The 23,985-nt window shown below is 44.5% G+C and overlaps 1 protein-coding gene across 28 annotated transcripts in view, besides 1 other annotated feature; it reads left to right on the top strand.

Moving 5' to 3' along the window:
• The window catches only part of OCA2 (OCA2 melanosomal transmembrane protein), a 380,308-nt gene that overhangs the window by 324,902 nt on the left and 31,421 nt on the right, over positions 1-23,985 (top strand). For 20 of the 28 annotated variants that reach the window (XM_047432611.1, XM_047432608.1, XM_047432617.1 and 17 more), the window contains one exon: positions 18,942-19,539. The exons of the other annotated variants lie outside the window; for them this stretch is intronic. In XM_047432611.1, the coding sequence (XP_047288567.1) occupies positions 18,942-19,026 (85 nt within the window). In that variant the 3' untranslated portion in view covers positions 19,027-19,539. Of the gene's footprint in view, positions 1-18,941; positions 19,540-23,985 lie in introns of those variants that run through there. 28 annotated transcript variants of the gene reach the window in all.
• Positions 22,602-23,103: an enhancer, noted in NCBI's record as "H3K27ac hESC enhancer chr15:27996457-27996958 (GRCh37/hg19 assembly coordinates)". NCBI's record gives its function as "activates a minimal SCP1, AML or CMV promoter by ChIP-STARR-seq in naive H9 embryonic stem cells {active_cell/tissue: H9 hESC(naive)}" and the evidence as "EXISTENCE:reporter gene assay evidence [ECO:0000049][PMID:30033119]".

Below are 23,985 nucleotides of genomic sequence, written 5' to 3'. Positions count from 1 at the left end.
TCCGCTCAATGATGCTGGGTGGCCAGGCACAGCAGGAGGCTCTCAGTGCAGAACGCGGGGGGCCTGAAGGCCTCAGATGTAGGCCCTTGAACTTGTGTTATAACATGGACTCTCTTCCTCACTGCCAGAGAGAGGCGGGGGCAGCAGAGACATCATCTGGAATGCACTCGATGGGGCCTTCACTGGCCCCCCACAGTGGGGTGAGGTGACACCAGCATTCAGTGAACAGATTTGAGGGACTTGGTGACAGTCTACAAGCCTGTTTATTGGGAAACAAGTTCTGGGTGGACTTCAGTTTGATACAAGATGACTGAATTAAAAAGGAAATAAACAGTGGCAATAATCAAAACATAGTTGAAGAAAATATACCTGAATAGAAAAAAAACCATAGAAACAGATTATGGAATGTACATGGAAAATATACTTCCTGTGTCCCAGTTAACGGAATGATATTTTAACTAAGGCACAGCCTGTCAGCAATTTTAATTACAAAGATAAAGACAGATATCATTTCTACAAGAATTCAGGAATTGTATACGCACAAATAGAAACAAAATTAAGAGGACTTCCAACTCCTGGGTATCCAACTCCTGAATAGTCAATGACAAAGCTTTGAGAGGAAATGGCTGTGATCCCAAAGCTCCAGTTTCAGATCCAGCCAAGTTTCACATGTCTACTAAAGTTACAGAAACCTGTCTGTGTCTGTTATTAACCTCCTGTGTGACCTTGGGTATGACTTAGCCTCTCTGGGCCTTAGTTTCCTTAGCTCTAAGCAGTAATAATAATGCTCCCTATCTCACAGAATTATCGTGAGGATTAGCTGAGCTAATACTCATGAACCACACAAAATGCCTGATGTAACCACTCACAAATGTAACCTGATATTATTATAGTTATCAGATGTCATCTTTCTCCAAACATATCTGAACAAATGACATATATTGTAAATAATAAGAATTTAACAAATATAACCTGAGTCTAAAATCTCATATTGAATTAATGAAGATCACAAAATCTCTTGAGATGTCAGTGAGAGAAATTAAAACTTTCTATTAGGCGGGTCAAAGGATACTGGTTCATTTATTTATCTTTTGTCACTGAGATATATAGATTTATTCTCATTATTTTTTGGCAAATCTATAAATAAAAAAAGGAATAAAAAACTCAAAACCTAAACCAAAATTATATAAAAATAGCCAACAAAAAATAAGAATTAAATTTCTAACTGGATTCTACTTTAAAACTGATCAGAGTAACTTGAGAGAATTAAAACTTGTGAACAAAAATAAATGGCTAATACAACTTAAATAATACAATTGAAAAGGTAGAATTATAGAGAATATTTTATAGAGTTCATATTTAAAAATTCAATGAGACAGTCAACATAATAGTTCTAATTGCCAAAAATATTGCATCAGAATAGAGAAAATGAATTTAATCAGAAAATATAAGGGGAAATTAATAGAAACTTCACTGCCATGGAAGACTTTCATATGACACTATCTGTCTCTGAGCATTGAATTCTTAGACATATAGTTCTCTCCATTTTCTTTTTTTCCTTTTTTTTTTTTTTGAGATAGAGTCTCCCTCTGTCACGCAGGCTGGAGTGCAGTGGCGAGATCTCAGCTCACTGCAACCTCCACCTCCTGGGTTCAAGGGATTCTCCTGCCTCAGCCTCCCAAGGAGCTGGGACTACAGGCGCCTGCCACCACACCCAGCTAATTTTTGTATTTTTAGTAGAGATGGGGTTTCACCGTGTTAGCCAGGATGGTCTTGATCTCTTGACCTCGTGATCTACCCACCTCGGCCTCCCAAAGTGCTGGGATTACAGGCGTGAGCCACCGTGCCCGGCCAGTTCTCTCCATTTTCTATGGAAAATAGGCCTTTTCAAGAGTCCACAAAACAGCTACAAAATTCATCATATATTAAGCCAGGAAGATAATCTCAATGATTTCCTAACTGGATATTTTCCAACATTTCTTCAATTATTTTCCAGTCTTTGACCAGAATACATTAATTGCAAAATAAAAATGAGAGGGAAAAAGTGATCCTCTTTCAAAAAGTAAATTAAAAAAGTAATAGTAGTAGTAGTAATAGAATTTGCAGTAGTAGTGGCAAAAACAATAATGCATACCATTTCAGTAACATTGACAAAGTACAGAATTACAAAGTATTAAGTCACTACTTTATACATTTTAAATTTCTTAGCAGAAAATATTGTTTTAAAGGAAGGTCAGGCCCAGAGAGGTTGGCTAGTTGTTCAGGACGCACAGCAAACTCACCTCCCATTCCAGGGCTTGGCTATGATGCCTTCCTCGTGGGCCCGCAGGCGGCTTGCTCAGCTCAGGGAACCACAGCAGCCTCAGAGTTCACGGCAGGCCTTGACGCTGTGCTTGGGAATAATGTCTAGACTTAGTTATTTTAATTGTTTTCAAATTGAGGAAAAGTAATAGGCGCACAAAGTAACACAGGAGAGAAGGAGGAAAGAGCTGAACCACATGAAGGCAAGCATACAAAATTAGAAGACTAAAAATGGCAGAACTGGTAAGCCAGGAGGCGATTTTGGGGGGTAAACATTATTGATAGTACAGGTAGAGTTTTAGCGTCAAGAAAGAGAATGGGAAAGCAAAAATTAACAAAATTAAGTATTTAAAAAGGGAATACAGTAGCAGAGGTAAAGAAGATTAAAGTCAGACGATTACATGCTGATAAAAAAAATACAGATTTCACACAATGGGTGATTTTCTGGAAAAACATGTATTATTAAAATTCTAGAAACTAGTGGAACCAATGGATACTGTCTTTGGGATCTCCCACGCCCATTCTCCTCTCTTTGCCATTAAATTCTTCCTCGCTGTGGAACACAAGTCTCAAAGTCACCCCTGCAGCCACCTCAGCTGGACTCGGCCCGCGGCCACGGAGCACCCCCCAGCTGGGCGCTGCCTGGAGAACCCACGCCTCTGCGGAGCACACGGAGGGGCGGCCCATTGATTTCCGTGCGCGGCTGTATTTTTTTTTTTTTTTTTTAGGCTTCTCTCTCCCCCGGGGCCTCTCGCAGGCAGGGCCCGTCCTCTCTATAGCGCCGCCCTTTCTCCGAGCTGGGGCCGTGGAGTGGCAGTAGCGCTGTGACCTTGGCGGGACCGCGGTGGAGAGTGGGGCGATTTGCTGTGAGCAGGAGGACCTGGGGGTGTTTATGGGCCTCAGAAGGTGTGAGGGGACCTGATGGAGGCGTTCTAGGAGGAGGCCAAGGGGGTGTCGCTGCAAGGGGAGGGAAGGAAGGGAGGGAAGGAAAGAAGGAAGAAGGAAGCAAAAAATGGAGGGAGAAAAGAGGGAGGGAGGAAGGGAGGGAAGAAAGGAAGGAAAGGAAGGAAAAGAGGGAGGGAGGGAAGGAAAGAAGAAAAGAAGGGAAGGAAGGAAGGGAAGGAAGAAAGAAGGAAAGGAAGGGAGGGAGGAAGGAAAGATGGAAGCAAGGAAGGAAGAAAGGAAAAGAGGGAGGGAGGAGGGAAGGAAGGAAAAGGAGATGGGAAGGAGCAAAGGAAGGAGGGAAGGAAGGAAGAAAGGAAGGAAGGAAAAGAGGGAGGAAGGAAGAATGGAAGGGAGGAAGGAAGGAAAAGAGGGAGGGAGGAAGGAAGGATGGAAGGGAGGGAGGGAGAGAGGAAGGAAGGAAGGAAAAGAGGAAGGGAGGGAAGTAAGAAAGGAGCGGGAAAGAGCTCCCTGGTGGAGAGGGCCGAAGCCACCGCTGTCCATCTTGGATTCAGAGGCCACGGGAGCGGCCGGGTTCTGAGGAGGGAAGTGGGTAAGGACACGGGAGGCCAAGGGCAGCTGCGCTGGGCACCGTGCGCGCCCATCGGGGACCTTCCCCGGCGGCGAGGGAGGAAGGAAGGGCGAGCCCGGCGGCCTGCGGGGAGGGTCCTGGAGCCGGGAGGTGGTCGCTTCTCCAGGGCAGCCGGTGTGGATGCCGGTTCTCAGGGAGAGCAGACAGGCGGCAATGAGCCTCTTCTGCCGGCGGAGACGGGGACAGCGCCACACACGGCTGGAGGTCTGAGAAACCGGGCGCACTGAAAGCCTCGCCCGGCCCCGCGTTGCCCGTCCCTGGCCCCTCCCGGCTTGGGGTCCGCGCAGTGTCTCCGTGGCCCCGCGCGCGACCAGGAGGCCTGCGGACCCCGCGGAGCCCCCGCCCTGAACGCCCCTTCCCTCCGCCCGCCTGGAAACGCTCTTGCTTTGTGTGGCAAATAACGAGGATGAGCTTTGTTTCCAGGGACCGAGACTTTGTTATGGAACCGAGTTGGGATATTGTATTTCCATGCTTGGTGGTGCTGGGGGTGGGGGGCACTGCAGGCCCTGCAAAAAAGGGGGTCCCTGCCCCATCTCAGCTTCTAGCCTTTCCTCATAAAAGGAGTTAGCTAAGGACTATTACCCTGGGAGACCCAGGAGATGGGGTATGAGGCTGTTCAGATGGGGGCTGAGGATGAGCCTGGTCCTGAGGCCCAGAGGGGCCGCGCACAGGCCGAGGCGCTGCACACAGGCCGAGGCGCTGCACACAGGCCGAGGTGCTGGGGAGGGCAGGCCTCAAGGGGTCCACTGGCACAGAAAAGGGACAGCCTCCGTGCCCGGGCGGCTTGCTCGTGCATCCTCCATGGGCCTTCGGAAGTAGAAGCAGTTCTTCCTTCTGCTCAGAATCATGTGTTACCTTTGTAGAAGGGCGACAGCCAAATGGCTTTTTGTTTAAAAACCATAGTTATGGTTTGTTATTAAAGCCTTTTTTTTTATTTCAATAGGTTTTAGGGGGAACAGGTGGTGTCTGGTTCCATGGATAAGTTCTTAGGTGGTGATTCCTGAGATTTTGGTGCACCCCTCACCTTAGCAGTGTGCCCTGCACCCAATGTGTAGTCTTTTGGAAAGGAAACATAAACAGGAAGAATGGTTTCAGTCTGAGACTCAAGTAGGAGACTTCATTAGCAGACACTTCTTTTGGAAGCCAGGCTCTGTTGGAAACGCTCCGGGCACTATTCTGGGGCTGCCCCATTTCCCAGCAATCCGGAAGCCTTGGTTCCTTAGAGAACTGTGTGTCAGCACAGGCAGGTTTTTAACTTAAAACTAAACGCGTGTAACACAGGGGCTGTGTGGGCGTCCATCTGACGTGTGCATCGTGATTTGTGCTTTGACACGCAAGTGCCTTCCCTAACATGGCATGGTGAGAGAGCCAGAATGGATTGAAAATCACCCCGGAGGGAGATGAAGGCGTAGTGTGATGCTGGATGTTGAACAAATGCCCTTTTCCTGAGCTTTTGGTTGAGATTGTTGCCTTGAGGAGAGGCTTAGGGTGCAAGACAAATGGATCTTCTGGGAAATGGAGGCTCCCGGTGAACCCGCAGCATCCGTGTCCTGTGTATCTGGAGTCGTCCTGGCAGCGACAGGAAGTCATAACATCCTCTCTTCAAATAAATCTCCCTCTGGCTGCCTCCCGGCTGGGCAGCGCATGAAGCATTGAAGCTCCAATCAAGCTGCTTGCATCCCACGGGAGGAAGCAACTGGCTCGGCCCCAGAAGAAACAGGCCAGCCTTTGAAGTGCCAGGGAAAGAGCTGCCCGCAGGCCTTGCCTTCCCCTTCAGAAACTCGGGCGTGTGCCACTGTGAACGGGGGCTGCCACCACAGGGTCCCATAGACAGGGTTATCACTGGTCTCTTCTTGACTCTAACTAATGTCAACCCTAAAAAACAAGATTCATAAAACATGACTAAATATAAAGTTTATTCGAGTCCAAAGCTCGAGGCTGGCCAAGCCAGGAGCATAGATTCTACTTGCCCTGAATGTACACTCAGATTAGCTGCAGTTACAAGAGAGTTTTTAAGGAAAAAAGAACTGGCACTTCCTAAGTTGTTACCGAGAATTTACATTAGAATAACATAAGCTATTGATTCGCTATACATTGTTCTTTGTATCACAAATTCCAGGCAGGAGAAGATAATAGGTGAGGCGGCTAGTCGGGAACACAGTGTCTTTAAACAGTTGCCCCTGGGTGTGGGGGCAGGAGAGGAGGAGTGACGGCGTGTGACTGAAGTCCCATACTCGATTCTCTCTGGACCTGATAATTTTGCATATCTCACAGAAGTTACACTGCTCAAAGCTATATTTCTTTTCTCAGTAATAGAAGAATTTTTTTCATGACTTCCAAAATGTATAAGGAAGAGGCTGCAGTGTGAGATGGTCCCTGTAGGGCGGTGGAGCTCCCTCAGCCTGCCTAGCTCAGACCTGCTTTCTTGGCAGGGGCCGCACCTCACAGGCATCCACCTAGAAAGACCCATCCTGGGCCGGCCCTCCCTGCGCCAGGTCACAGCTGCAAGTCTGCCTTTCCAACCGCTTTCAGCTGGAAGCCGGGCCTTCCTGGAGCCCTCTGTCCAGTACACTATTCCCCCTTCCTCCACTGCCATTGTGGCTGCTGAGCTTAAAATGTGGCAAGTCCAAACAGAGGTGTGCCATTGTCATGCGACCCCTCTGACTCCAGTAGGAGTTTTTGTTTTGTTTTGTTTGAGCAACAGCAAGATTTAGTGTGAAGAGTGAAAGAACAAAGCTTCCACAGTGTGGAAGGGGACCTCAGTAGGTTGCCTCTGCTGGCTGGGGTGGCCAGCTTTTATTTGCTTATTTGTCCCCACCCACATCCTGCTGATTAGTCCATTTTACAGAGTGCTGATTGGTCCATTTTACAGAGTGCTGATTGGTCCATTTTACAGAGTGCTGATTGGTGTGTTTACAATCCCTTAGCTAGACACAGAGTGCTGATTGGTGCATTTTTACAGAGTGCTGATTGGTGCATTTACAATCCTTTAGCTAGACATAGAGTGCTGATTGGTGCATTTTTACAGAGTGCTGATTGGTGCATTTACAATCCTTTAGCTAGACACCCAGTGCTGACTGGTGCATTTACAATCCTTTAGCTAGACACAGAGTGCTGATTGGTGCATTTACAATCCTCTAGTTAGACAGAAAAGTTCTTCAAGTCCCCACTCAACCCAAGAAATCCAGCTGGCTTCACCTGTCAATCACCCCTCTAAACAGGACACCCCAACTGCTGTTGGGAATTGGGACTTCCTGCTGGATAGGGGCAAAGAAGGTGCCCTGCAGTTGTAGTGTGCCCCAGAAGGGAACTCTTTAGGCCAGTCAAAGGGCCAGTGGGTCAGTCCATGGGTCCTCAGTAGAAGTTGTTAGTTGAGCTCATTTGGGTTTCCATTTGTAAGACCATCTGTAGCTTGATAGCCTTGATCCTAGAGGAAACTAATTTGACAAGGAGGTTAAAAGTACAGGGCCCAAAGGCAAGTAATAGCAAGATGGCGGTCACAGGACCTAGAAAAGGGAGAAGCCATGTAGCCCAACTCCAGAGGCCGGTATTTGGGAACTGGGACTTCCCGCTGGATAGGGGCGAAGAAGGGGCCAGGGAAGGAGACGTAAGGTTTATTGAGGATTTCATACAGGGCGGTCCAGGAGCAGTGGGCAGGACAGGAAAATCCTCTCCAGTTTGTAAAGAGCAGGCAGATTACAGAGCATTTTCACTTGGCGCCCTCCACCTAGCAACCTCTATTTGGCCCAGAACCAAGGGCCTGGATCCCCAGGGTAGCCTGCCTGTGTTCAAGGGATGGCTGGGAGGTAGGTGCCCTCCTGGGAAGCAGGGCTGCTGGGCTGGGAGGAGACTGTGCCTCAGGGAAAAGGCGAGGCTGCCTTGGTACTGGGTAGGAGTGAGTGGTGAGGACCTAGCCAAAGGTAGGTGAGAGGACACCCTCTGTGTCCATTTAACAAAGCAGAGTTTCAGACAGGGTGTGAGGCTTCCAGAGAGACATTTAACATTCACTGAGCTTCAGGAGAGCTGACCACCCCAAGCCAAGGCCAACACTGCCTAGTGTCCTCACTAAGCAACCCCTCAGGACACAGGTTCCAACTCAGCCACTGAGGGAGAGAGAGACAAGGCGGTGTCAGTGTCCTTCATAGAGAAGGAGCGAATGTCTGGGTTGGCTGCTCCCAGATTCCTTAGCTGGGAACTCTGAGCACACATTCTTTTCAGAGATGACCATAGGGTCCTTCTCAGGGCATGCTTCAGTGCCATGAGTAGAACATCCATACTGGATTTTTTTATTTAAAAAATGTCAACTATTCCATCAAAATGTTATGTTGACTATATGGTCAAATAATATTTTGGATATGTTAGGTTAAATAAAATATATTATTATACTTAATTTCATCTGTTTCCTTTTACTTTAAAAAATGTGATAGTTGAACATTTAAGACTACACAACATATTTATTGGTCTGGACTTCCTTGCATTTTAGATAGAGGCTGACAGGAAGCTGACAAGTTCCTTTGTCAGAGCTGTCTGAACCAGAGCGACTCCATCTTAAATAGGGGTTGACTCCATCTTAAAATGAGGCTGAGGCCCGCTGGGCAGCATTCCCAGGAAGGTAGGCATTCTAATTCACGGGATGAGTTAGGAGGTTGGCACAAGATACAGGTCACAAAGACCTTGCTGATAAAACAGGTTGCAATAAAGAAACTGGCCAAAACCCACCAAAACCAAGATGGTGATGAGAGTGACCTCTGATTGTTCGCACTGCTCATTATACACCAATTATAATGCATTCCTGTTCCCGGACCAAACCGAGGGTCGGGCTTATTATTCTTGAAGCCCAATAACAGGATGCAGATGACCTGGGAAAGGAAAAGAGTTTTATTTTATTTCTATAACTGGTTAAGGGAGAAGGTCTGGTAAATATCTCCAGACCAACTCAAGATTACAGCCTTCCAGCTATAACCTTCTAAGCTGTATGTCTACATGTAAGTGTGATTCTTTCATCTAAAGACGTAAGTGATTAGTTTCTAATCCATAACTAAGACTTGAATCCTGAAAACCTTCCTCTGGAGCCTCAGGAAATTTACTTAATCTAAATGGGTCCAGGTGCTTGAGTGATTTGTCTTGTCTCTTGCTAAATCATGGAGTTATAGGGAGTTCCTTCAGACCCCAGATAAACTTGTTTGTGGAAGCCTGGGGAGTTTCTTCAGTCCCCCAGTAAAACTTGTTTAATCCTAAACGGGTCCTGTTAAGAATTCCCTCGTTATCTTGTCATGCTTCAAGGCCCAGGAAAGGCCTGGGCAAAACTCTTGGTGGGCTTTTTTTACATTCCAGTGTTTGTATAAGGACACTGGCTCTCTCAGCTTTTGATGTTGAACCTGAGCACTCAGTCAGTGCTGAGATAGTTTTTTGGAGGCCTGCGTCCGTGAGACCTGGCCTGCTACACTCACCTGGTAAGAGACACTCCCACCAGCACCTTGACAGTTCACAAATGCCATGGCAACATCAGGAAGTTAGTCTATACAGTCTAAAAATGGGAGGAACCCTCAGTTCTGGGAATTGCCCACCCCTTTCCTGGAAAACGCATGAATAATCCACCCCTTGTTTAGCAAGAAATATCTACACAAAATATCAAGAAATAGCTACACGTATCCTTAGTCCAGCAGCCCAAGCTGCTGCTCTGCCTATGGACTAGCCATTCTTTATTCCTTTACTTTCTTAATACACTTGCTTTTGCTTTACTCTATGGATTCACCTCAAGTTTTTTCTTGGGCAAGATCTAAGAATCCTCTCTTGGGGTCTGGATCAGGACCCCTTTCCTGTAACTCCTTCACCTTCCCAGGACCTGATATTCTTAGGGTCAGCAAGTGTTTTCAGTAAGGGTGAATGCATATTTCAGGCTTTGTGGACCGCAAGGCCTCTGTCACAACTGCTCCACTGGACTCTACCTTGGTGGCTCTGGGGTGGCCGTAGACAGCAAGCAAATGCATGGGCGGCTGAGTCCCAGTCCCAGTGGAGTTTTCTCACAAGAAAAAGGTGGTGACCACATTTGGCCTGAGGCTGTAGTTTGTTGGCTCCTGGTCTGTAAAAAGGGAGCAGTTTACCTTGAGTTGTCTTTGGAATGGAAGGGGAGATTTTCATTCATGGAAGCCCTGCTGTGTGCATCTTTATGAGATAAGGGCTCTTTCAGGGATCTTGTGGCATGTGCAAAATGCCTTTCAGTGTGAGTGTTATTCTTTGCTGGCTCATGGTAACCCTGCAAGCAGATGATGAAGCCAGGATATAAAATACTAGAGCTGGCATTTGATGCCAATCTCCTCCCCCTCCTGCCTCTCCTTTCTCCCCTCTATTTTCCCCTCTCTCTCTTCCCCTCTCCTTGCCTCTGTCCCTCCTTCTTTCTCTCTCCCCGTCTCCCTCCTCCCTCTTTCTGTATCCCTCTCTGATCCCTCTCCCTTTTTCCTTCTGTCTCTCTCCCCTGTCCCTTCTGTTTCTCAGTGCCTTCCATTTCTCCCTCTGTCTATCTCTCCCTCTCCCTTCCCTCCTACCTCTCTCTCTGTCTCTCTCCACTCCCCAAACCCCCACCCCTCAGTGGCTGGGTTGGAACCTGTGTCCTGAGGGGTTTCTTAGTGAGGACACTGGGCAGTGTTGGCCTTGGCCTGGGGTGATCAGCTCTCCTGAAGCTCAGTGAATATTAAATGTCTCTCTGGCTGCCTCACACCCTGTCTGAAACTCTGCCTTGTTAAATGGACACAGAGGCTGTCCTGTCACCTACATTTGGCCAGGCCCTCACCACTCACTCCCACCCAGTACCAGGGCAACCTCACCTTCTCCCTGAGGCACAGTCTCCTCCCAGCCCAGCAGCCCTGCTTCCCAGGAGGGTGCCTGCCTCCCAGCCAGCTGTGCCCTGGGCATCTGCTGCCTGTCTCCCCACAGGAAGGGCCCTACCATAGCCAGGGACATCTCCATCACACCGGCATCGCAACCACTCACAGCAGCCGCATCATTGCCCACTTCCCTAATGGCTAGTGATGTGAGGCATCTTTTTGTGTGCTGGTTTTCCACTCATATAGCTTCAGTGAAATGTCTCTTCATGTCTTTTGTTCGTTTTCTAATTGGATTTTTTAGTGTTTGTACCACTGAGTTTTGAGATCTTTTCATATATTCTAGATAAGAATCCTTTGACTGGTCTATGGTCTGCAAATGTTTTCTCCTAGCCAGTAGCATGTCTTTATACCCTCCTAGCAGGGTCTTTTATTTATTGAGCAAATGTTTTAAAAAATATTTTTATTTTGATGAAGTTGATTTTATCAATTTTTTTTTCTTATGGAATCATACTTTTGGTGTCATGCCTAAGAACTCTTCACTAAACTGTAGGCCTCAGATTTTTATCCTATGTTTTCTTCTAAATGTTTTGTAGTTTTACATTTTGCATTTAAATCTGTGATCCATTATGAGTTAATGTTTGTATAAAGTGTGAGGTTGAGGTTGAAATTTATTTTCTGACATTTAGATACCCAATTGCTCTAGAAGTATTTGTCAAAAAGGGCATCCTAAAGTGTAGTGTATATGCTCAGTGGAATACTACTCAGCCATAACAAATGAAATCACGTCATTTGTGGCAACATGGATGGAACTGGAGGTCCTTTTCTTAAGTGAAATAACTCAGAAACAGAAAGACAAATACCACGTGTTCTCACTTATAAGCAGGAGCTTAATAACAGGTACATGTGTTATCAGCATGAGATTTTTGGCTCTCAATGTAAGAGAAATTAACACAAGCCTAGGCAAACCGTTTTTAGACAAGGTCCATTAAGACTTAGGCCCAGAAAGGTTGGGCATAAGGGAGATTTAGTGCAGGAACAAATGTTACCTGGCTGACACCCTGAGGGGAGTGCATTGTGGTGTCTTAAGGAGGGTGACATGCATGAAGTAGGTAAGCATCACTGAATGTGCAGGGTGGAGTGTTCGGGTGCACAGGCTAGTAAGGGGGCATGCTAATCCACACGTCACATGATTAGAAAATGGCAGATAAGCCCCTCCCTGGGTGGGGATTTCAGTATTACAATAAGTCATGGGTTAAAGATGGCTCATTATTCTGCTCTTAGGTACATGCTGGTGATGGGGTTAACTTTTTTTGAGTGAGATTTATGTTAGGATGTTGCTTATTTTAGGTTTTTGAGGTCCTGCAGTCAGCAGGTATGGCTCCTTGAATAAGATTTATGGTGGGAAGCTGCTTATCTCAGTTTCTTCAGAGAGCTTCCAAGGTCTGGTCAATGGGCATGTATGGAAAAATACCATAGTGGAGGTGGGCTGAGTCCTGTGTCTACTCTGTCTCACATGGACATGGAGTATGGAATAATAGACATTGTAGACTCAGAAAGATGGGAGGGTGGGAGAGGGTGAGGGATGGGAAATTACTTAAAAGTACATTATTCTGGTGATATTACACTAAAAGCCCAGACCTCACCACTATGCAATATGTCCATGTTACGAAACTGCACTTATACCCCTTACATTTATACAAATATAAAGAAAGAAAAGGCTATTCTTGCAAAGACTCACTTTTGCATCTTTGTCAAAAATAAGCTGGGCATACTGGGCATGGTGGCACCTGTAGTTCCAGCTGGCTGGGAGGCTAAGGCAAGAGCATCCCTTGAGCCTGGGAAGTCAAGGCTGTAGGGAGCTGTGATGACGCCAATGCGCTCCAGACTGGATGACAGAATGAGACCCCATATCTTAAAAAAAATAAGTTGGGCATGTCTTTATGGGTCTGTTTTCAGGTTCTGTGTTCTGGCCCATTGATCCATGTGTCTATATCTGCATCCGTGCTGTATTGCCTTAATTACTGGTGCTACATAGTAGACCTTCATGTTGGATAGAGAGGGTCTCCCATTCAGTTCTTCTTTGTTAAGATTGTCTTTGCTATTCTAGAGCCTGTGCCTTTCCATATACATTTTAGAATAAGCTTGTCTATGGCTAGAAAAATTTCTGCTAGGAATTGCATTAAACCTAGAATCAATTTGGGGCAAATTAACATTTTGTCTATGTTGAGTCTTCCATTAATGAACACTCTATATCTCTCCATTTATCTAGAACTGCTTTGGGTTTTTTTTTTTTTAATCACCATTTTGTAACTTACAGCACACAGATGCTGGTGTGCTGTAAGTTACAAACACGATTTAAGTTTAAAACAAGATTTAAGTTTATGCCTAAGTGTTTAATTTTAATTGGAGTGATTTTAAGTGGTATTGTGTTTTTAATTTTAATTTTTATGTATTCATTGGTAGTTTATAGGAAAAAATAAGGTTTGAATGTTGATCTTGTGTTGCAGTCCTTGCTGAACTTACTGCTCACTGATTAGTTTTAGAAATGTTTTGTTTTGCTTTTTTTTTCAATTTCTTAGGATTTTTTAATGTAAGCTATCATGTCATCTGCAGATAGAGAGAATTTTATTTCATCTATTTTAGTCTATGTGTCTTTTGCCTTATTATACTGACTTGGGCTTTCAGTACTATGTTGAATAAGAGTGGTGAGAATCCTGTGGGGGAGAAGCATTCAGTTTCTCCTTATTAAGTATTATGTTAGCTGTAGTTTTTTCATTTGCTTCCTTTTCCTAGATGATTTTCTTTATGGGGTTGAGGTAATACAGGGATCATAAAATAATTTAGAAAATGATGTTCCCTCCCCTTTTATTTTCTGGAAGCATTTGTATAGAATTAGTGTTAGTTCTTTAAATATTTCACAGAATTCACCAGTGAGACAATCTGGCCTTACAATTTTCTTTTTTGGAAGGTCTCTAACTACCAGTTTAAATTCTCTAATATATATAGGGTGATTTAAATTATTTCATTCTAGTTGTTAAATGTATATGTATACAATTGTTAATAGTACAACAGTAGTTAATATGAGAAACTTTTAATCTTTTGATTAAATCCTGAAGGTTTTTTGTGATGACTCCTGTTTCATTGATATTGACCATTTCTCTTTTTTCTCTTTTTACTTGTCAGTCCTTCTAGAAGCTGGTTAATTTTATTGATCTTTTTTAAAAAATCAGCTTTGTTTCATTGGTTTTTCTCCACTGTTTTCCTATTTTTAAATTCATGAATTTATGCTCTTATCTTTATTATTTCTTTTCTTCTGCTTGTTTTTGGGTTTATTTTTAAATTCTTTTTCTATTTCCTTAAGATGGGAACTTAAATTATTGATTTAAGACCTTTTCTTTTTTCTAATACAAACATTTAGTGCTATACGTTTCCTTCTCAACAAGTGACATGTTAGCTGTAGTTTTTAATTTGCTTTCTTTTCCTAGATGATTTTCTTTATAGGGTTGAGGTAACACAGAGATCATAAATTAGAAAATGATGCTCCATTTTCATTCAGTTCCATGTGGTTTTTTTACTTTCCTTGTGACAATCTCTTGGATCTATGAATTATTTAGAAGTATAATATTTAATTTGAAAATGCTTGGATAGTTTCTGGTTGCCTTTCTGTTACTGATTTCTTATCAAACTAGCAAATCAAATCAAATCAAATTTGAAATCAAAATTAGTTTGATTGCTTATGGTAAGAAAAAAAACCCTCTGTATAATTTTAATTCTTTTAAACTTGTTGATGTTTATTTTTTGGTCCAGGATATGATCTGTCTTGCTAAATGTTTCTTGGATGCTGAAAGGAATGTGCATTCTGCTGTTGTTGGCTGGAGCACTCTGTAGTATCAGCAAGATTTGATTGCTGGAAGATATTGTTGAGTTCTCTCTGCTGAATTTCTTTCTAGTTCTTCCATGAATTACAGAGAGAGAGAATAAAAGTCTCCATCTATAATAGTGGATTTGTCAGTCTACAATCCATTTGTGCATGTGCCACTTTCTCTTGTCATTTACTTTCTCTTGTCATTTTGTCAGTTTTTGTTTCAATTTTTCAGCTCAGTTATTTGGTGAATACACATTCAGGATAACTATGATCTCTCGGTGGATTGACTGCTTTATCTATATGCAATATCCCTCTCTGCCTTGGAAATGTTCTTTGCTCTGAAATATACTTCATGTGATATTAATATAGCCATTCCTGCTCTTTTGATTACTGTTTGTGTGGTTTATTCTTTATCCGTGCTTTTACTATTTTGCTATTTATTTTGTTTCAACCATCAAACATAATTTAAAAACTCAAGATGAAAAGGAAAGTTTATCATATTTAACCATACATTTGCTCTTTATTTTGTTATTCCTTCCTGATACTCCAAGATTCCTTCTTTTTATCATTTCATTTCTGTTTGAAGACCTTCTTAGCAGTACTTTTAGGGTAAGTTTGCTGCTCTTCTAGTTTTTCTTCATCTGAGAGTGTCTTGAGTCTCCCTTTATTCCTGAAGGATATTTTTGATGGATATAGAAATTGGGGTTGATTGTTCATGTCTTTTATCAATTAAAAATATTATGCCACTTTTTTCTGGCCTCCATAGTTTCTGAGGAGAAACTTGTAGTTTTTCTCTATAGGTAAATTGTCATTTATCTCTGACTGCTTTCAAGAAATTTTATCTTTCTTTAGTTTTCACGAGTTTGATTTGTTGATTGTTGTGTCTTGGCATAGATTTTGGGGGGTGCCTAGCCTTTTTAGGATTTTCCCAGCTTCTTAAATCTCTAGGTTTATATCTTTTACCAATTTTTTAATCATTATTTCTTTGAATACTTTTTCATCCCTGCCCTCTTTCTCCGATGATACAAATGTTAGATCTTTTGTTCATGTCCCACAGATCCCTGAGGGTTGGTTCCTTTTGTTTTTTTAGTCTTTTTTCATTTTTCAGATGAACAATTTCTGTTGTTGTATCTTCAAGTTCACCGATTCTTTCCTTTATACTCTCCATTATATTATTGTGCCCATTCCGTTAGAGTTTTACTTCAGTTGAACTGAAAAATTTCCATGTGGTCCTCCTTTATAGTTTTAATTTCTTGTCTGAGACTTTCCATTTTTTTTCACTTATTTCAAGTGTGTTTGTCATTGCTTGTTGAAGAATTTTTATGGTAGCTGCTTTGAAATCCTTTTCAGATAATTTCGACATCTGTATCACCTCAGTATTGGCTTCTGTTGATTGGCTTTTCTCATTCAACTTGAAACACCCCTGGCTCGTGGGATCCCCACGTGGTCTCTGCTGTTACCACAGGAGAGGGGCTTGCTACAGCCTGGTGAGTGTGGAAGTTCTGGTTCCCACTTGGCCTTCACCAAGGAGCTTAATTTTTTTTCCCGTGGAATTTGGCAGGAGTGGTTATTATCTAGGAGTGTTATGTCTAGCTTTAGTGCCCTTTCCTGGCTTTCTGGCTAGGGAGAGCAGGCTTCTCTTGGGGCTTTTTGTTTTCTTTCTAGTACCCACTGACGTATCAGCTTCCCAGCACCTAGTCCAGGATATATGAGGGGAAACAAAAAGGAAACCCACCTCCATGCCATTCTTTGGGACCCCAAGATCCCCAGCTGATCTGCCTCTTCTTCATCTTTATGGTCTCCTTATGCTTGTTTTCTATAAAATGCCAAGCTTTTAGCTCTGCTTAGTGGGAGGAATTGGAAGAAACGCATCCACTTCATCTTGCTTGAGAACTAGAAGCCTGCTTTATCATCTTTAATTTGAGAGTAAAATTCTCTTCTCCGATAAACCCTTATGTATTTGTATCATTAAATTCCTTACCACCAAACACAACTCATGCACCAGGGAGGTGCTCCAGGCTTACTCTGTGATTTTGGGCACTTTGTAATCCCAGTCAACATGCACTTTGGGGCAGGTGTCCCGGTTTGAGGAGCACTGGTCTGTGGCTAAAACTTGTTGAGGGCTCATTATGTGGCCACTGTTCTCACTGTTCTAAGGGATTTATAAGAGTGAACTCATGGAATCCTCATAGCTCTCTTAGGTACTGTTATTACCTTCATTTTATATATAAAGAAATTGAGTTATGGAGACATTTAATACTTTTCCAAGGTGATGCCACTGGGCAAGAGCAGGAATTGAAAACTAGAGCCCTAAGCTAGTGTATTGTGGTACCTGTCTCTGTTGGGAAAATGCATTTGGGTTTTGAAGCCAGAAGAATATTCCAAGACACCATCTCTGCCTTTTACTGGTGGTGGCCTTTGTCAAGTTCCCTACTATATGCAAGCTTCAGTTGCTTCATCTATATAATAGGGGTAACATGACATGCCTCACCATGTTTGGGAAATAATAGATAATGTCAACGTCTAGTCTATGAGGCCCTTAGCATACAGCAGATATTCAGTAAGTCATTTACCTACTAATGGCAGGTTGCCATTGTTATGATTTATCCATGTCCACAGGGAGGCAGCATATGTAGTGATTAGGAGTACACACTCTTAATCACTCTTAATCACACAATCTAACTAGAGTTAGACTGATGCATTTGGATTGTCACACCAGAGCAAACTAGCTGAGAGACCCAGGCAAGCCTGCTTACCTCTCAACATCCCACCTCTGCAGTAGGTGTGATGATGCCAATTCCAGAAGGCACTGTGGGCAGTTGAGAGGGTCCTGTGCATGGAGAGTGTCACAGTGACTAGGTGTTGTGAGGGAGAGTAGGGTTTCTGATGGGTCTGAGTGATTGCATCAGTTCTGGGTGAAATGAAAATGTTTGGTGATGCTAGGTGATGCTCCTTCTCTGCGTTGGTGCCATCCTCAAGACATCAGTGGCTCTCACTTGGGAGCACGGCAAAACCACCCACCAGGAACTTTCTCCAGTCTTGGGCTTCTCAAGCAAGGTCTGCTTTTTGTGGAATTCACCCCTTGGCAGGCAAATTTGCTTCTAAAACATGGCCAGGTGTCTCAGCACCCGGATTGAGATTCTCGGCATCTTACCTGACACTGACTCACTCTACACAATCTGTCACAGAGGAACGAAGGCTTTGTGCTTCCATGAAGGCTTGCAGTGATGTCTGTGATGCCTGGAGTTGACCAGACACTGTCGTGGGTTGTGTTTTTCCAGAACTCAATGATCAGGGCTGACATTTTGCAAACATGTTCAGCTATTTTCAAAAACAAAGTTGATAAAGTTCAAGAAATTTAAGTAGTTTTCCCAAAATATGTTCTGTGTTTCTTTTTGTTTGTTTTGTAAAATAAAATGTGTTCAGAAGAGAAGCCAAGAGAATCCTACCACTTTCTTGAAATGCCCAAGTCTACTCTATAATTTCGGGAGCTGTCTCGCTCATGGAATCAGTTTTTGTGTTTAATTGTAGCTCTGTTGAGGAACCCTTGCTGTGGCTCTTTCTGAGTAGCCTCTTCCTACACTTATGGCCAGGGAAGAGAGAATGTCTTTATAATTGCCACATGCTAGGCTCTTACTGCTAAAACTTAAGCCTTTTGAAACCAAAATTGTAACATTTGCAGGGGCTTCCCTTAGTGACCAGGCAGCACTGAGCAATGGCTACAGAGCGTGCATTACCCATGCCAAGTGGCATCTGTCAGTGCCTGGAAGCTGGGGTAGGAATTTGTGGAGATGTGTGTACATTGGAGGAGGCACACAATGAGGGATGCTTCTCTCTTCTCATGACTGCTTTTGTATCTGTGCATACCCTCCTTGTCCACACGTCTCACACCTCACCGGCTACAGAAGAAAAACTTCTTCTTCCCTTTGCCTTTCCTTAGACAACAGTTGGCCTTAGTTTCCAACACTACTTATCAAGCTCTCCTTGGCCTTAAGTGTGAGGGACTTCAGGAGCCTGCTGGAAGCTGGGATCTCTGGGAAATCTCCAGAGAAGAAAAGTTGGAAGATGACACAAGTAGAGGAAACATCCAGAGATTTAAATGGTGGCCCAGCACATGGCATTGAAAGACCAACAGTCTAATATAGATGAACAAACAGAGGCTCCATATAGCCATTAAAAATTTGAGAAAACCTTAAGCAGTTCTCAAATAAAATTGCACACAATGGAGGATGTCTAATAGAAGCATGCATTCACATAATTTAGTCTAAAACTAACTTCCTGATTTATGGAAATAAAAGGTAGTGGCCATTGTGAAAATGCAAAGGTGCTAAGGCCATGTTCTCATGAGCTATGAGTCCGTATCTCATGAGATTATCCAGATTTCAGATGCCATAACTCATTTCTCTTTGTATTTCAGGCTGGGCTTCCCAATGATGGTTGTGTCCTGCACTGTTGGGATGTGTTATCTCCTTGTGGCTCATGTGGTGGTGGGATGGAATTAATAGACATCCATCTATTGCTCGAAGACTAAAGGAAACTTCATCCATCACAACCCATTAGTCATAAAACTACCCTGACCCCACTGTTTGAAGAAGAAAAGGTGCTTACCCTGGAGATGCTACAGAGACACAGTGGAATAGACCTTGACACTAACACTCTAATTCAAGCGAATGTTGGAACACCATGACCTCCTCTGTGTGTCCTTTCTCCCCAAGGACAAAATGTAGAAAGATGTGAGATAACTTACTCAAGATTCCCCTCCAGAAAAATACGTATGTTTAAAAACCCTTCCTGCTATACATAGGAAAAGACACACATCCACCTAAAATTGACTGTACTGTTTAACTGTCAATTCTCCTGAGGCTAAACACAGTTTGTTTTTCTTGTAATCACTTTTCATGTTAAAATAATCAGCATTCAAATTGTATGCTTTCTGAATATAGACTTTCTGGGAAAAGGTTTACTGCTCGTAAGGAAACATTTTATGTATTAAAATAAACTGTTCCTTGATAAAAGGCTTTGGAGTAGTTTACATTATGTAAAATTGCATTTTATCCATTTATATTTTTCTCTGCAGTTTTAAAGTTATTAATTAAAAGTCCAGAAATTTGACTTGCAGAAGATCATAGGTATCTTTTAAGGATATCTTACATATTTAACAGCTTAGAGTAATGATTTTTCCATTTTGCAAGTGGTGCATGCTATTTCCATCAATTACACAGACGTACACTCGATACCCTCAGTCCTGCTCTCCCTGCAGGACGCTGTGGCTCAGTCGGTGTTTATTAAATGCAGTTCTTTTGTGAAGCATTCCTTGTGAGGTAAGGGTAATGAGAACAAAGACCAAGGGGGAGCCCTGTGCTTCCTGCGAGGTCTCCTCTGCTCTGCCTCATCAGTATCATGGCTATGCCCCAGAGGAAGAAGCCCTTCTTCAGTTTCTGATCTTCTGTGCATGACACCTTGGAATGAAAATGGGGACACTGCTCCGAAGTGATTGTGTGTCAAGCGTCTGACTTCAAAAGTTCCAAGATGCTCAGGGCACTAAGAACTGCAAGGCAGGAGACCTTTCTGGTCCCATTTCTGTCACAGGTGCCCTCAGGATGGGTGTCCCTGTCTACTGTTTAGAGTCTGTATTGTCGAATGGCAACACAGTTCTTCCCTGAAAGGTTGGGAGTGTTTATATGCCCTTTGAATTCCTTGACAGCAAAGCTGACGTGCAACCGTAGTTTATTTTAAAATGCAGTGTTGGACAACGTCACACAGAAGCCTTGAGACACGTGCAGCTGACTGGATATCCCGGAGGAGCCCCTGCCACAGCCTGTCCAGGGAAGGGTTCTTCTGGCCACTCCCGTGCTGCCCGTACTTTGCTTGGTCTCACTGGACCTGGATATCCCTGAGCCGGTCACTGAAAAGCACTGTTTCCTCTTCTATCCCACATCAGGATGGCTGGGGACAGCACTGGGCTCCCTCATGTCCGGCTCCTTCCAGCTCAGCTCCCATCTGCTCTTTCATCCTTTAACACGTCATCCCCTACAATGCTCAGGCCCCATCTCCCACCCACTGCCTCTCCTCGTTGGTGCCTCTCTCTACTCTTCAGTCATGCCTTCTCATTCTTTTTTCTTTCTTTCTTTCTTTCTTTTCTTTTTTCTTTTTGAGATGGAGTCTCGCTCAGTTGCCCAGGCTGGAGTGTAGTGGTGCGATCTCAGCTCACTGCCAGCTCCGCCTCCCGGGTTCACGCCATTCTCCTGCCTCAGCCTCCCGAGTAGCTGGGACTACATGCACCCGCCACCACGCCTGGCTAATTTTGTTTTTGTATTTTTAGTAGACACGGGGTTTCACTGTGTTAGCCAGGATGGTCTCGATCTCCTGACCTCGTGATCCACCCGACTCGGCCTCCCAAAGTGCTGGAATTACAGGCATGAGCCACCGTGCCCGGCCCATCCCTTCTCATTCTTAAAAACCATTAGCTCCGGGCTCATTTCTCCCTCTTGCTCATACCCCCAGCCTCCCCCGAGGTTCCTATTCATGCCCCACAGTTCTGATTTCTCTGCCCCCACCCCCTTCTCCCACTCCCCTCCGTGTTACACCCACCCTGGGTCTCCAGGACCTGCCTAGGGTCCTTCATCTCTGTGGTCTTTCTCTGACGCTCCAACACTTCCAGTCATTTACCCCAGGTTACCCTCTAAAACAAAACTTGCCCCTGCTGGAACCTCTCGTTCATTGGCCTAGGACATTTTAAATTCCCCTGTCAACTCCCTCGTAGCTTAGTTGTTTGTTTATGCTCTAAAATTTAAAAGTCAACCAACAAACTGGCCCCATGCTACCTTTACTGCCCCTCAATGTTGCTGAGGTGAATCATCCCACAGGGATGGCTGGTTTTATTTTTAAATGAAGATCTCAAGCATCAGACAGGACCTCAGCACTGCCTGGCTCTTTGATTCCATTTCCCTAGCGCAGCAGCCAGAGAACTGGCTGGAAATAGGTGTCTGCCCACATTGGGTAAGTGCAAGTGACTGCAGCCAGGGATGGTGCAATCCTTTAGGGCCAGTGAGAGGAGGCAGCTGTGGGCCTCTGGGGGGGGGGGGGGGGTGGGGGACCAGGACCTGGAGATGCAGGGAGCTGTGTCCAGAGGGACTGGACGGGAGCCGTGGCCTTCTGCTGGGGCTGTGCCAGCATGAGACACTTGGTAGCCAGGGCCGGGGGTGGGCTGTGGGAATCATCCTGAGTTTATGCCTTTCTTCCTGTGGCTTCCCTCTGTACGTGGACTGAGCTAGCTGGAAGCCAGGGGACAGGAAGCACTGCTGATGCTGTCCGGGAATGGGAGTGTGGCAGGAGGAGCAGATGGAAGATACTCAGCTTTATGTACTGTTTTGCTCCTCAGCAGATGAAAAGTCCACTTCTGAAGAAAGGAGACACTAAAAGTGCCATGAGCTTTTCCACTCAAGAGACCACGCGAGCTTGCCCACACTCCCTCCTGACGCTGTCTACAGAATTATTAGGTGAACAATCCAGTGCTTATTAAATCCTGTGTCGTTATGATGGAAAAAGACAACCTCGAAGAAACCAGCTGTGCCTTTGCTATAAATGTTGGACTGCCACAGGCAGTTGTCCTTGCTAGAGTTTGCCCGACATCACGTGCATAAAGTCCTGAAGACCACAGGGACGGTGAGGACACACTTTTACTGTCTGAATTCACCATGAAAATCCAGATGAAGGGTCTGTGTGCTGCAGACGAGGATCTGGTCCTGCCTGAGCTTGCATGAGGAGCTGTGCCTTACCTTTGACACACGGCCCCACGCAGGCAACGTGGCAGCAGCAGAGTCCATGGGAATCTGAGCCACTTCCTCCTGCAGTGCATGTGCGCCTTCCAGATCTGCTGGGGCCCAGTCTTGTAAATGCAACATACTTCATAACAGAAGATCACTGTGCACATCTGACTTGATGGTTCAGTGGATCAGATAGCCCTTGGCTTGTGACGCACAGCCCAAGTTCTGTAGTCACTCTGTTTTCCACAGTCAGATCTTCAACCTGCACCAAGGCCCAGTGGCAGCCTGGAGCTGCTTTTCTAGAGAAGACTAGTACACTAGTCAGAACAGGAAGGCAGGGACTTCATTCAGATCCTGAGGTTTGCACTCCTATTCTCCCCTCAAGGCTTGCCAGCATCTCCCTACAGTGTGTGTGTCTGCCCTTGGGATACCTGCAGCTGTGCTGTGCTATTTCACAAGGCCCAAGTGGCAGGGCAGCCAGTGTGGCAACCTGGACCTGTGAGCTGCACTTGCTTGCTCTGGTCCCCCTCAAACCTTGCAGCCTTGGGAGGTTACCTGCTAATGGGTCAGAGCAGCGAATCCAATATGTTATATGCTGCCTTCGAAATTAAAAGTGGACCATCAAGAATTGTATTTTTTTCTTGTTTTTGATGATTGGTACAACTTTTTCTCACTTTGTAGGGTAATTTTAAGTCACTCCTAAAATTACCATCAGGATGTTGTATTTCTTTTGTGTTACCATCTTGGTGTGAGATGGGCAACTTCCTCATGTAATAGGAAACAAACTTGGTCATTCTAATGGTTATTTAACATGATCTCTCTCAGCATTCATTCTGGAGAAGGGGAATAACCATAGGAAGGGTCCACCATTTCATAGGACCAATTATTATGCGGACTTAGCACAAGAATGCACTTGTCACTTGACCAACATAAGCCTCTATTCTGTCTTAAGGACCAGAGGATGTTTTGGATCTCTGAGAATCAGGGAAAATTTAAAACCATTAGGACCGTCTGGATATTTCTTACTGGAATGCAAAAGTCACCTGGTAAATGGCCACAGGTCCCTCTGAGGAAGGTGTGGGAAGAGCAGTAAATGCATCCGTGGGTCTGTTGCAGGATCTTTCTCAAATGCACCTGGCTGACCTCTCTTCAATCAATGACCTGTGAGGCTAGGAACACTCTCAGGTCTGGGAAGCAGCTTGTGTCATTCATCCTTCTTATGATGACTGAAGCTTCTCCCCAGGTCCAGATTCTCTCCAGGTTTCTATGTCAAGCTTCCCATAGAAGCCATTGCTTTGAGCTCTGTGATCCACTTGCCTTTTGGCACAGACCTCTGAAGCATAATGTGGTAACTGTGCCAACCTTGACTATGACAATTAAGCACACCGCTGGTCTTTACCACCTTGGAATCCCATTATTCCCACTGAGAAAAGATAACTTTATTCCATTACTGCCTCTCCTACTGTCAGCAACAGTCTCCAAAGGACAGATATCAGAGACTTCTAAGGACACTGGTGGCCCCTGCAACACTGCATTTATTAATGCTTCAATGCAGGAAGTGTCCACTGGATTCTCTTGCAGGGAATGCTAGGGGACAGCTGAGTAAGGGACACATAAAAATCTGAGCCTTTGGACTCCTTTCTCTATATGCCCAATATTAACCAACTGTGCATATTAATAATGCCTATTCCAAGG

Source organism: Homo sapiens, chromosome 15 (assembly GCF_000001405.40).
Source record: "Homo sapiens chromosome 15, GRCh38.p14 Primary Assembly".
In the NCBI taxonomy this organism is placed as follows: Eukaryota; Metazoa; Chordata; class Mammalia; order Primates; family Hominidae; genus Homo; species Homo sapiens.
This window is presented reverse-complemented; position numbering and strand designations above follow the sequence as displayed.